Genomic DNA, 13623 nt, shown 5'->3' on the forward strand with positions numbered 1-13623 from the left:
TATGTTTCACAATATTGATTTTTGTTAAGTAGCATCATATGGTATAGCATGTATTTAGTTTGCAAATGAAAATGAATTGAGATTCTTTTCATGATGAGGATAGAAAAAAGATTTTAAAGAAAAAAAAAAGGAGATTCTTCAGGATTTCTGAGACCAGTAAGGATCTGGGTCCATCTATGAATGAGCATCACTTTTCTGCCAGGAGTAATGATTGAGCTGCATTTCTGCAAGGAGTTATAAAAATCAACATCAATGTTTAGAACTCAAAAGTGAGGTTACAGTTATTGGTGACTCCTTGATTTTTTTTTAACAGTGTTCCAGTTTTTTCAATTTATTTCCAACTCTGTGTCTTCCCGGCCACTGAGGCCTGTGCTGTAACTCTGCATCCAGACATATTCTAGGCTATAGTCATTTGCCAGGGTTGCCTCTCACGCAAGAAGAGAAACTCATGTGTTAAGTTCCCTCACATTAAACTATATGGGTCTGATTCCTCATAAAACAAAAATGATGAACTTGGAATGGTGACACCCGGTGACTAATATGAAATATTAGTATCTCTCAGGTTCCCTTCCAAAGAGATGATTTTGAGGATGTCATTGTATTCTAGTCTACTAAATGGACAAGCTTTTGTATTAAGAACCAGGACTGTTGGCAGAGAGGAACCAGGGATGTGTCATTAAAAGATTGGAAGGGTTTCATAGCGGATCTAACCCAATCCTAATTTTAGAGGGTCAAACATAGGAATAAATGATACCTTTTATTTACCTTAGTGTTTCCTTACTTTGAAAATCTTGTTTCCTAATAGATCATTCTTTGGTCAGTAAATTACTGTTTGAGAGTTGAATGTAATTTCAACAGCATTTTCATGGCACTTTAAAAATAAGGAATGATAATTTTAAATCCTTTAGAAATGAAACTAGCTTGTTATATTTTGATCCCTCTGAAAGAGGCATAAGGAGAGATTTATTAACATCAATTTTCCACTTTTGATGCCCTCTGTAGGAGGTGCTAGTAAAATTCAGATATGTTCCCAAGGCCTCAATTTGAGTGTCCTGCTGAATGACTTACTCAGATGGAAGTGATAGAACTGTCCTTCCTCATCATGTGACAAGTGAGCTTATTGAGGATTTATGCTAAATAGAGCCCTTGATTAGAAAGAGAGCATTTTAAACTCTTTTTAAACTTTCCTGCTTATATGCAACCATGCTGCTTAGGTTCCCTGACATTTCTGGTATGGCCAAGAATGTATCTATTGGCCACTCAGGAAAAATACTTCCCTTCAGAAGGCCCTTTTTAAAGTGGTAGGCTGTGTTGCTCCTGGCTACCTTTAATTATTCAAATAACTTCTATATCTTGAAATTGATGTTGTTCTCAGAATCCAGATGGCATGGAACATATTTTCTGTACATCTATGATCAAATATGCAGTTAAGAATTTTTTTTCAGAGTAGACCATATTGTCCAACTTATTAAATTTATTAATTTCAATAATACATTGGCCAGTAGGAGTATTACATATTTTGCATCTGAGAAAAATGTATTAGTATTAATAAGTTTATAAACAATTCATCACCTACTCAGATGGTATAATGTAGCAATTTATTGTATACTAGGTGAATTTTGTTAACAGGGAATCCCCTGATGAAAAAAATAGCTTAATATTAATTACTAGCTCCATCTGTGCAAAACCATAGATAAACCAATATTTTAATACAATGACTTCATGCATGTCAGTTATCTTCAACATTAAATGCTACAGTTTTGTTGATGCAGTTTACCTGTCTATTAATTTAAATAATGCGTGTCCTTACAGAGGTTAAAATTATGAATAAATGAATTAAAATTAAATATAATGAAACATTTAAATAGGTGTAACATGAATCTGATTCATTCTCCAGGAATATATCCTGTATGCATGTATGTATATACAAATTACTGTACCATCTGCTAGGTTTTTACAGGTTGCGTATGAATTTTCTTTCCACACCTGAAAGGCATATTGTGAATTCCTTGTAGTGAAAAGATTGTTGAAAAGGTTGAGACAATTGGTGTAACTAATGCCTGGCAGTGGTCAGACTCAAAGAGTACCTTCAAAAGATAGGGGCAGAGGTCATCATAAGAAAGATCATTTTCTATTTAAATTTTGAGCTCTCAAGCTAACATTTTGCTAATTATGACAACGGATGCTGCTCCAAGCACCAAGGGACCCCCTTTCATCCGTCCTTTTAAACTGCCGTAACCTGCCACCTGGTATGGTCTTTTTATATCCACTTTATGTTCTGGCTTCAATAAATATTTATTGAAAAAATTAATGAAATATTCTGGAGAAGGGAATGGTGAGCAAAGAGGCTTTTCTTAGCTGTCAGTACAAGTCATCCCCGTAGTTCACTTATTTAGACAGTTTAGTACCTCACGCTGCCAAAATTCTCATACTAACCAAGGCGTAGTCTTCAGAGCCTCAGAGGACTTAAGGTATGGCTGGTAATCATTATTGCTAGAAAACATATGGACAACCAGTAGACTTTTCATTTAGGGAGTCTCTTGGGAGATAGTAACCAATTAATCCAAACTTTTCATTAAATAACACTGAGCAATGCAAATCAAACTCCCTTAGTTTACCGTGTTCTGCTGCAGCTAGGAAGAAATCCTCAGGTCTTTAGGCTCCACCAGCTTCTCAGATAGTAAAATTCTCTGTGGAGAGGGGATGATATTGACATTCCACTATGAGTATTTAGCGCTGACTCAGAATTGTCGTTTATTGTTTAAAGCTGTATCTTATATGTATGTTTCTTTAGACATTATTTTGGGATGAGCTTTAAGGGTGGCTTCACTAAACAGTGTAGCGTTTTTAGAACACAGGTACCATACTCCTGGGTGATTTGATTCAAAAATTGATTTTTCAGTTTCATAATTGTGTGACCTTAGATATAATTTTCAAATTACTTAACTTCTATCTCTAACATATAGTAACATATAGTCATCCTTATACAATGGAAATGGGGCTGCTTACCTCTCACTAAGTATATGCTATAGAGTGAGATAGATATCGTGACATCATTAATTATTATTTATTGCTCATCCATTGAGGTACATAAATTAGAAGATTAAAAAGGATATTGGCCTTTTAAAAAGTGTGTGAATGGGCAATCACAGAATAAATATTAATGCAAATATAGATGCAGTTTCCCAAAGTCATTAGTAGTAAGCAAAAGTAAAATTAGAGAACACAGGATAATTTTTCTCCGCAGATTGTAGTATATGGTATAGCCAAAAGTATGAGGCAGTAGGCACCCTCAGACACCATGAGAAGGCAGGAGTAATGACTCATCTTTTGAGGGAGAGAAATTTAAAAGCACCTCAAAACTGTAAATTTAAAAGTGTAGGCTTTTTGACCTAGAAATTTTACTTTTAGAAATCTATTCTAAGGTGATTTTTAGCCCCATGTGGAACAAATGTGGATGTCCCCTTAACCTCTCAAACCCCTCAGAAAAACATGATAAAAAACCGTGCTAGTACAAAATAACAAATGCATAATAATCAAGTTCAAAAAGAAAGACATACACAAACGCACAGACATACGCATGCACGTAAGTGAAATAAGATAGCCTCAGTTTCCAAAATTAAAAAGAGAACTGAAAATCCAGCATGAAAAGTAGATAATAGCTCATATGAATTTTGATCTGGGAGCACTGAGGTTTTTATTCCCTCTAATGCACAGGAGACTTAACTTCTGGTTAAATGAGACAATGGGCTGGAACAAAGATTCTGATATAACACTTCCAACTGAAAAGGGGAGCCCTAGGAAAAGTGGATAAGAAAAACTCTATCCATTTTGTCCTTTCAAAGTATCCAAAGAACTCTGTCTTTTCAGTGTAGTCAGAAAAAGAAAGAAAGAAAGAAAAGAACAGAAAAAAACTCTAATGTAAGGGCTTGGAGGCAAAATCTACAGCATTAGCCATCTATATTTTAAGTGGTGGAGGCAGGATTTAAAAACCTAAAAGTGTTTTCAAGTTTCACTTATCCTTAATTCATAAATTTGCTTTTTTTCTTATAAAATTTATAGCCATATAACCAACTATATCTCTTATTTTGGGGGAGAAATAAAAATGAAGCCGAGAGATAACTTTTCCACTAAATTATAACAGTTGTATAGAATTTCATGACCAGGTTAAAAATCTAACAAGTCTGGCTCCAGAGACTTTTACCTAAATCATTTATGAAAACAACCCAGGCTGAAATGAGTTAGCAGATGCAACAAAAATTATAGTACTCTCAAAACCAGGAGAAAACTAAACAATTTAAAATAAATTATTATTTTAAATATTTTTAAATGATTGAAGATACATAAGAGGGAATAGAAATCTTAACGAAAGAATATGATACCGGCCGGGCGCGGTGGCTCACGCCTGTAATCCCAGCACTTTGGGAGGCCGAGGCGGGTGGATCATGAGGTCAGGAGATCGAGACCATCCTGGCTAACAAGGTGAAACCCCGTCTCTACTAAAAATACAAAAAATTAGCCGGGCGCGGTGGCGGGTGCCTGTAGTCCCAGCTACTCGGGAGGCTGAGGCAGGAGAATGGCGTGAACCCGGGAAGTGGAGCTTGCAAGTGAGCCGAGATTGCGCCACTGCAGTCCGCAGTCCGGCCTGGGTGACAGAGCGAGACTCCGTCTCAAAAAAAAAAAAAAAAAAAAAAAAAAAGAATATGATACCACAAAAAATACTAGACAGACTTCAAACAAATAAGGTAGAACATCTGAAAGTAAAATATATATATATATATATATATATATATATATATATATATATATATATATATATATATATAAAATTAAAATAGAAAATGCAATGGACTGCTTAAGTGATAGCCAGGCACAGCTAAACAGGGGGTGAGAAAATGGGGAGACAGATCTCAGAAAAAGTCCTAAAATGCAACCAAGAGCAATAAGAGGTTGGACACATGAAAAACAGTTAAGTGACGTGGACAATAAAATGAAAATATTAAGCATTCATCTAAGTTTGTGTGTGTGAGAATAGAGAGGGAAGAAATATCTTTGGGAAAAAATAGCAGCAAATATCCAGAACTGAAAAAGACATGGTTATTCAGATTGAGTTCTGAGTAAGAGAAATAGAGCAGAAATCTTCCTCACTGAGTGAGTTCTCTTGACTTACTCAGAGACTCAGCCAATCAGTGGGTTTTTTCCATTCTCTCTTGCCAGTTCTTATAGTGTACTTCACACTTAAAACTAGGAAGTCACTATATAGTACATCAGTGCACTCTTGCTCCTACCAGTTGAATTCTATTTTTATTTATTTATTTATTTATTTATTTATTTAGTTTTTTGAGACGGAGTCTCACTCTGTTGCCCAGGCTGGGGGCTAGGGTGCAGTGGCGCAATCTCGTCTCACTGCAACCTCCAGCTCCCGGGTTCATGCCATTCTCCTGCCTCAGCCTCCCGAGTAGCTGGGACTGCAGGAGCCCCCCACCATGCCCAGCTAATTTTTTTTTTTTTGTATTTTTAGTAGAGATGGGGTTTCACTGTGTTAGCCAGGACGGTCTCGATCTCCTGACCTCGTGATCCGCCCACCTCGGCCTCCCAAAGTGCTGGGATTACAGGCGTGAGCCACTGCGCCCAGCCTTGAATTCTATTTTTAAAAATTCAGTTCTGTTTTGTCTGTAACTGTTAAGGAGAGTTGCACATGTTATTTTTATTATCCAGACCAATAAAATATCAACATAAAAGAAAAAATTGTGTCAAGAAAAACTAAATTGAATGTTTTGGGAGAATTCCATAAAGGTATGCCACTTAAATAAAGCAGCTATAAAATTAGGTTTTGGAAGGAAGTCAAAAGTCATAAATATCTGGAATATGGTGAACACAACTGCTTCCTATAATGTCTTTTAGGTTCTTGCATTCACTGTAGAGACACTGGAATTGGAAATTGTAGAGAATGCATAATGATGCATAATGTGTGTAGTTCATGAAGGAAAGATAAGATAAAAATAAGACCAGTAGGCCTGTCTCGAAGGGACTCGTCTATTTTAAAACATTTCCTAACAGTATAAATTAAATGCTTAAGATAGCTGGAGTGCAATGGTATGATCTCCGCTCACTGCAACCTCTGCCTCACGGGTTCAAGTGATTATTGTGCCTCAGCCTCCCAAGTAGCTGAGATTACAGGCATGTACCACCACGTTCGGCTAACTTTTTGTATTTTTTAGTAGAGACAGGGTTTCACCATGTTGGTCAGGCTGGTCTTGAACTCCTGACCTCAGGCAATCCACTGGCCTCGGCCTCCCAAAGTGCTGGGATTACAGGTGTGAGCCACCAAGGCAGGCCTAATTGTTGTTTTAAATGATTCCCACCTTTAGCAAATTTTCCATTTCTCCAGTGAGCTAATGGCTATAATAAGAAATCTTCCTCTAAAAACAACAACAACTACAGGACATCCAAGTCAGGAACAGAAAGGAAATTACTTACCAAGAGAGAAAAAAAAAAAAACCCAAAACAATAGCAGAGTTCAAATCAGCAACTGTATCTATGATTCCACCGCTAAATCTAAGGTCATGATTTCCCCTATAACTTCTTCTAGGAGTTACAATTTTTAGCCCTTGCATTTAGGTTGTTGTACCAGCACCATTAGTTGAAGACTATTCTTTCTCCTTTGAATGGATGTGGCAACCTTGTCAAATATCAATAGGCCATGGATTTATAGATTGATTCCTGGACTTTCAATTCTTTTTTTAAATTTATTTTTTATTTCAATAGGTTTTTAGGGAGTAGGTGGTGTTTACTATACGGATAAGTTCTTTAATGACGATTTCTAAGATTTTGGTGCACCCATCACCCAGGCAATGTACACTGTATCCAACATGTAGTCTTTTATCTCTCACCCGCCTCCCACTCTTTCCCCCTAAGTCCCCAAAGTCCAATGCCTCATTCTTATGTCTTTGTGGTGGACTCTCAATTCTATTCCATTGTTTTACATGTCTGTTCTTATGCCAGTATCATACTGGTTTGATTACTGTAACTTTGTAGTAAGTTTTAAAATTGGGAAGTATGAGTTCTCCAACTTTGTTTTTCATTTTTTAATATTGTTTTTGCTATCGAGGGCTCCTCGCAATTCCATATGAATTTGAGAGTCAATTTTTCCATTTCTGCAAAATGGCTATTGCAATTTCAATAAAGATTGCCCTAAATTTGTAGTCACTTGAGGTAGATATTAACATCTTAACAACATTAAGTCTTTCAGTTCCTGGACACAGGATATCTTTCCATTATTTTAGGTCTTCTTCAATTTATTTCAGCTACGTGTTATGGTTTTCGTTATACGAGTCTTTCACCTCCTTAGCTAAACTTATTCCCTGGTATTTTATTCTTTTAGATACTACTGTAAATAAATTTTTTTGTTTTCTTTGTTGAGTGCTCATTGCAAGTATATAAAAATACAACTGATTTGTGTCTATTGATCTTGTACCCTATAATTTTCCTGCATTTGTTTATTAGCTCTAGTAGCTTTCTGGTGGATTATTTGGGATATTCTTTTTGTAGGCTTATGCTATCTGTAAATAGAAATAGTTTTACTTGTTTTTTAAAAGATTTGGATGCCATTTACTTCTTTTTCTTGTCAAATTGCTCTGGCTAGAACTTCCAGTGTAATGGTGAATAGCAGTGTTCAAGAAGCCATCCTTATCTTGTTCTTGATCTTAGGAAGAAAGTTTTCAGTCTTTCATCATTGAATCTTTCATTACGTTAGCTGCAGGGTTTTCATAAATGCCCTTTATTATGTTGGTGCACTGGCTTATAAAAATGTAACACTATTTGGGTATTTTTAAAAACAGAAGAAAAGGTCAGAAAACTCAGTTATTTCAAAGGAGATTGAAATTAAAGCATTCTAATATCCTCAGATTTTTCTGAAGGAGATAGACAATTGGTCAACACTTGTAGACTTTATTATGTATTCTTTTAGTGCTTAATTTAAGTGTTTAACATGCTCACTTGACTTATCACAGTTTATATAAATAAGGAGGAAAACGCAGGAAATAGAAAATAAACAAATGTGATTACTCGGATCAAAGGAATTTTTACAAAGAGAAATTCTAAGATTTGCCTTTTAAAAAATCAATAGAATGTAACTGAATAGTATATAATTACGAAGGGGACATCTGGAATATATTGAGAAAATGTGAGTTAAATAGATGAAAAAAATACTAGGAAAATAACGGAAAGAAAGTTGTTCTACAATTTTAATAACAGGCACAATGGGCTTTATGGAATTTTAGTCTACCTGACATTGGAAGGATGCAGCTCCCAGAGTCAATGACAGCAGGAAGAAGACGACTGGGAACACCAGGAAAAAAGGAAGCTCAGAAGGAATTCAGGAAGCAGGAAACATTGCAACACACTTAGGCAGGAATAGCCTGGTCAGTATGTTGCCACAGCTGCTGCTGCTGTCATCACCTCTGTTACTGCTGCTACTGTGAGGGTTCTGGCCTTCAAAATTTCTAGATTTCTTGTTTCTCTCACGTACAGTTCAGAGTCTCGGAAGCATGGTATGAGGGCCTTGTAGGAAGGCACAGATTATATGGTGGAGGCAGGCAGTAGGAATTGGTCTCTAGCCAACATCATCAATAGTGGAAAGCAGAAATTCACCAAAAAGAAACTAGGGAGACTTTACATAGAATAATATATGAGAATTTTTAAAAGTGTCTGGAAAGAGATGAGAATTAGAAGCAATTACTAATGTAGAAGGAAAAAGATAGACCAATCAGAATTTTTAAAATTCTATATATTTATGTAGGTTTTTACATATTTTATGATAAAATTGCACTCATGCATGGCTTGTGTATTCTTTAAAAATATGTCCTAAAATTATATTTAAAAAAGAACATTTGCCTTTAAGAGTTGGAAGTATCTACTCACAGCACTTTTAAATTTTCACGGGAATAATTGATGAAAATCCTGCTTCAGCAAAATTCAACGAAGGAGAAATCTTCCTGGGACTGTAGAAATTTCACCGTTGGCTAATCTACTTTTTTTTTTTTTTTCCTTGAAATGCACTGGCTTCATCTACCTTTAGAAGTTCCTTCTGTTAAAAACTCTAGATGATTTTTTCCTCCCTCTGAAGCCAGCTAGATACTTTGTAGTCAAACAAATTATCAGAAAAATTGCTGAATCTGGAGATTTTGCTGTAGTAAAAATGTGGCCACTGCCTTCTCAAAGTAGCTCACCATTTGGGATTATATATGAAAACCCATGTAAAATAAAAGCTGTCAAAATGACAAAAAAATTATGTCATGTTCGAATTATCATATTTCTATGGAAATTTAGTTTTATAGGTGTGTAGGGGTGTTGTCTGTGTCTATATCTGAGAAAGAAGGAGCAGGGAGAGAGAGAGAAACAGACAAAGAGACAAAGACAAACAGACTGACTCACTTCAACTCTGTAAGGCCAATGTAGCTATTTGTATTCCAGGAAAAACAATCTGGAGTATAAAATGGACTGAAATATGTACCTTTACTAATAATACTTATCTAACACTGTAACTGAAGTTAATTGTCTATGACATAAATCAAGAGAGTCACATTTTGGAGGTTTCTTTCTGTGATACTTGTGGATCCATTCACTGGTATTTGATTCATTTATTTATCCCTTTAGCAAACCTCCATTAAGTGTCTCTTGTGTGGCAGTTTTTTGGTTTTTTGTTTGTTTGTTTGTTTGTGTGGGTTTTTTTGAGACAAAGTCTCACTCTGTCACCCAGGCTGGAGTGCAGTGGCGTGACCTCGGCTCACTCCAACCTCCGCCTCCTGGGTTCAAGCATTTCTCCTGCCTCAGCCTGCCAAGTAGTTGGGACTACAGGCACAGGTATGTGCCTCCACGCCCGGCTGATTTTTTTTTTTTTGTATTTTTAGTAGAGACAGGATTTCACCATGTTAGCCAGGAAGATCTCGATCTCCTGACCTCATGATCCACCCGCCTCAGCCTCCCAAAGTGCTGGGATTACAGGCGTGAGCCACCATGCCCAGCCGTGTGGTAGTTTTTATACTAGACAATAAGGACCAGAGTGAATCGAACACAGGATGAGGAGAGACACACAAGAAGCCAGGGAACCAATATAGGACAATGTGATCTGTGCTAGGATGTCCAGAAAGCTTTGGGGGCTCAGAAAGAAGACAATTACTAGATGGGAGTGAAGATTTGGTAAAGGAACATGTTAGGATCAAGAAATAAGCGAATGGAGTCTAAAGGATAAAAACTCCAGTAGAAAAAGTAAAGAGATTTTAAGTAACGTTAATTGATAGGATATGATCTCTGGGAGATTCTGGGGCAATGAGGCAGAGTACTTTAGGAATATCATTATTTCTAGTGGGTAGGACAGAGTTTTGCTTGCAGCATGTGTGATTCTGGGTTGATGAGAGGGGAGCTGTAGTGGCCATCAGCTGTTTTTACTGTCCAGTGTCTATTAACCTTCTTTCAGGGAACATTAACCTGAACCCCATTCCATTTGGGGAATTAGCTCCTTCCCCACTTCTGGTCCCTTTGGCTTTGTAGAATCTGACACATATCTTGTACACACATGTACAAAGACACATACATGCACACTCACACTCTCAGCATTCCTGAGGGGAGCACAGGATCTTGGACCAACCACTACTGTTCATGCCTTCAGCGGTTGTAATTGGTCAAGACATGGGCATGTGACTTAATCAGAACTAAAGCAGAACTTATTTGGTAAATTTCCAGGGATGAGGTATTCACTTTTTTCTGTTAGGCCTGAAGCCTGGAGAATACTGGGGCTGGAGCTCCAAGCAACCCCTTGCTATCACGTGGCACTTTAAACTGAAGCCAGTATGACAGAAGGCATAGTAAAGAGATGGAGAGAAACCAACTCCTAATTATATTTTCTGGGCCCTGAATCCAGTCTTTCATTTTATGTGAGCCAATAAGTTCCCTTTTTTGCCTGAGTTGAGTTGTATTTTCTTTCACTTGTAACTAAGAATCCAATTGACGCAGCCCCCAAAGAGGAAACAGTAGGGTGGGGAATGGAAGAGAACATGCTAATATTTATTAAGCAACTATTTTGTCCCCACCATGTAAAGCTAAGTACTGCTACTTTTTGTTTTTCAGTAAAGTTCACAATATTCCAGCAAACTAAATGACAGAACCGATCTCAATCCAAAGGTCTGCCTAATTCCAAATTCTATTCCTTTTACCTAACACTGTGCTATCGGTTTGGGCTTTTCTCCAGGCCAGCATTTCCAAAACTGTGTTTCAGGGAATACTGGTGTTCTTTGAGATGTTAATAAATGTTATGTGGGGAACAATTCTATTTTTGTCTTAGAAACCCTTAATTTAGAAGAAAATATCAAGCATATTTATGTATTGATGTTTTTGTTTCATATGTCTTAAGTGAATCAAAGGGTCTGATGAGACATCACCCGCAGAATGAATTATGGATGGCTAAAAATTATACATTGGTGCACAGGCAGTGTTTTCAAAATACACAGTTGATATGGTTTGGCTCTGTGTCCCCACCCAAATCTCACTTTGAATTGTAATAATTCCCATGTGTCAAGACTGGACCAGGTGCGGATAATGAATCATGGGGGCGGTTTCCCCCATGCTGTTCTCATGATAGTGAGTGAGTTCTCATGAGCTCTGATGGTTTCATAAGGGGCTGCCCCCTTTGTTCAGCACTCATTCTTTCTCCTGCCACCCTGTGAAGAGGTGCCTTCCACCTTGATTGTAAGTCTCCTGAGGATTCTGCAGCTTAAGAACAAAGTAACACAACAATGTACTGATTTATAATTTTTATATCTTTATTTGAGGACTTAAGTTTGTGCATCCAACTTGTTCTGGGGATCTTATTCTATGTATTGCTGTTAGAGGTTTATACCACATGTGGCTATGTGGCTGTCAAAGGGAAGTTTTGAATAAAAAAAAACCTAATTGTTCTCAAATAAAACAATAAAGAAAACCAGAATTATTCTAAGTGAATGTGATTAATGGCAACTATAAACTCACCCTAAAAATTGTGAGGTAAACTTTTTAAGAAGAAATAATTACGTATTTTGGAAACTGCCATTTTTAAGCGTTAAAACATTAAATTTGTGTTATTCTCTTTGCTACAATTTACTTTTGAAAAATGAGAATTTTGGAATATCCTGGAAGTTAGACAAAATATTGGAATATATTTGATGCTGTGCTGAAAATGAAGATCTGACTCAGAAATATTCTTACTATGTAGTAACTGCATGAGAAAAGACATAGAAACGCTGTTCTGTTACAAAGGATGCATAATTTAATGCCATGTTACATTATAAAAATGTATAAATATGGTTTACTTAATGTAGATATTTTAATTCCTTTTGTTCTTAATTTTTAAAAATAGTTTAGTATCTTTAAAGGCACTTTAGTTCCATTATAAAATTTTGAAGACATACAAATAATTTCTATTTCTTACAGAAATTATTTCACCTGAGACCCTTTTGGTTGTCTTTTACAATGTAAGGGAGACTTTTTTTTTTTTGTATCTATTATTAGTTTTGCAAGTGGAAGGAATTGCCTGATGATTTCTCTGCCCTTAAAAATGTGAGGAGGTTGTGTAGGAGGCTCCTTATTCTACTGCCACATCTCTGGACAGTCGCTGTCCTGCCCTCTATCAAAGGGACTTATGAGAATCTTGGGCTGTTGGCAGCTTGGGTACTTTCCTCAGAGGCTCAGTTGAAAGACAATGGAATACAGTCTTGTCTGCTGGATGATCAATGTGAAATGGGTTGCTTCTCTCTGAGAGGTTCTAGACAGGGTGAGTTTCATGAACTTGCCACCTCTGCATTTAATTTAATGCTGAGCTGCTACTGTCTTGAGATTCTTAATAATTTTGAACATGGTTCCCTGCATTTTCGTCTTGCACTGTGCCCCATAAATTATATAGCTCTTCCTGCTTATAAGGAGCTGAGTATATATAGTAAATAAAGTGGACAAAAATAGTTGTTTTCATGAGACTTACATTCTGTTAGAGGAGAGAGAAAATAAACAGCATAAAGAAGTATGAAATTTAAAAGGTTTTAAATAGAAGATCAAAACTTGTGTATATGGGTGGAGTTTGAAGTTTTAGACAGGGTGGCTAAGAAGTCTTTAATGAGAATGTGACATTTGAATAATGACCTGAACATAATGAAGGAGTAAATCACAGTAAGACATGATAGAAAAGTCTTCCAGGCAAAGGGACCAGCTTGCGCAAAGCCTGAGGGAAGAGGGTACGTAGAACAGTAAGCTGACCAAGGTAGCTGGAGAGATAAATGAGCAGAAGAGTAATTGAAGATGAGGTCAGAGAAGGTAATAAAAGACTTTGGATTTATTCTAAGTGTAATGGGAAGCCACAGGATGGTTTGGGCAGAAGAATGACATAATCCAAAAGGATCACAGTGGCTGCTGTGTTGAGAATAGACTGAGGGAACAGAACTGACTGGATAAGAAGAATAGCTAATGGCACCTCAGTGAAGATAATGTAAGTCATCCACTCAATAGAAACTACATAGTCTGTGGTCCATATGCTCCTAGATGCTGTTGAATTATGAATCTTGCTCTAGTGGGTGCTTGAGTAGAGGTGGATTTTTCTAG

General features: G+C 36.7%; 1 long non-coding RNA gene across 1 annotated transcript in view; it reads right to left on the bottom strand.

The window, feature by feature from the left end:
- Nucleotides 1–13623, bottom strand: part of LINC03084 (long intergenic non-protein coding RNA 3084) — a 45936-nt gene that overhangs the window by 21940 nt on the left and 10373 nt on the right. Inside the window, exon 2 of the long non-coding RNA NR_187537.1 lies at nucleotides 2619–2690. This is a non-coding gene — a long non-coding RNA (long intergenic non-protein coding RNA 3084). The remainder of the gene's footprint in view (nucleotides 1–2618; nucleotides 2691–13623) is intronic.

The sequence above is a fragment of the Homo sapiens genome, chromosome 8, assembly GCF_000001405.40.
Source record: "Homo sapiens chromosome 8, GRCh38.p14 Primary Assembly".
Lineage (NCBI taxonomy): Eukaryota > Metazoa > Chordata > Mammalia > Primates > Hominidae > Homo > Homo sapiens.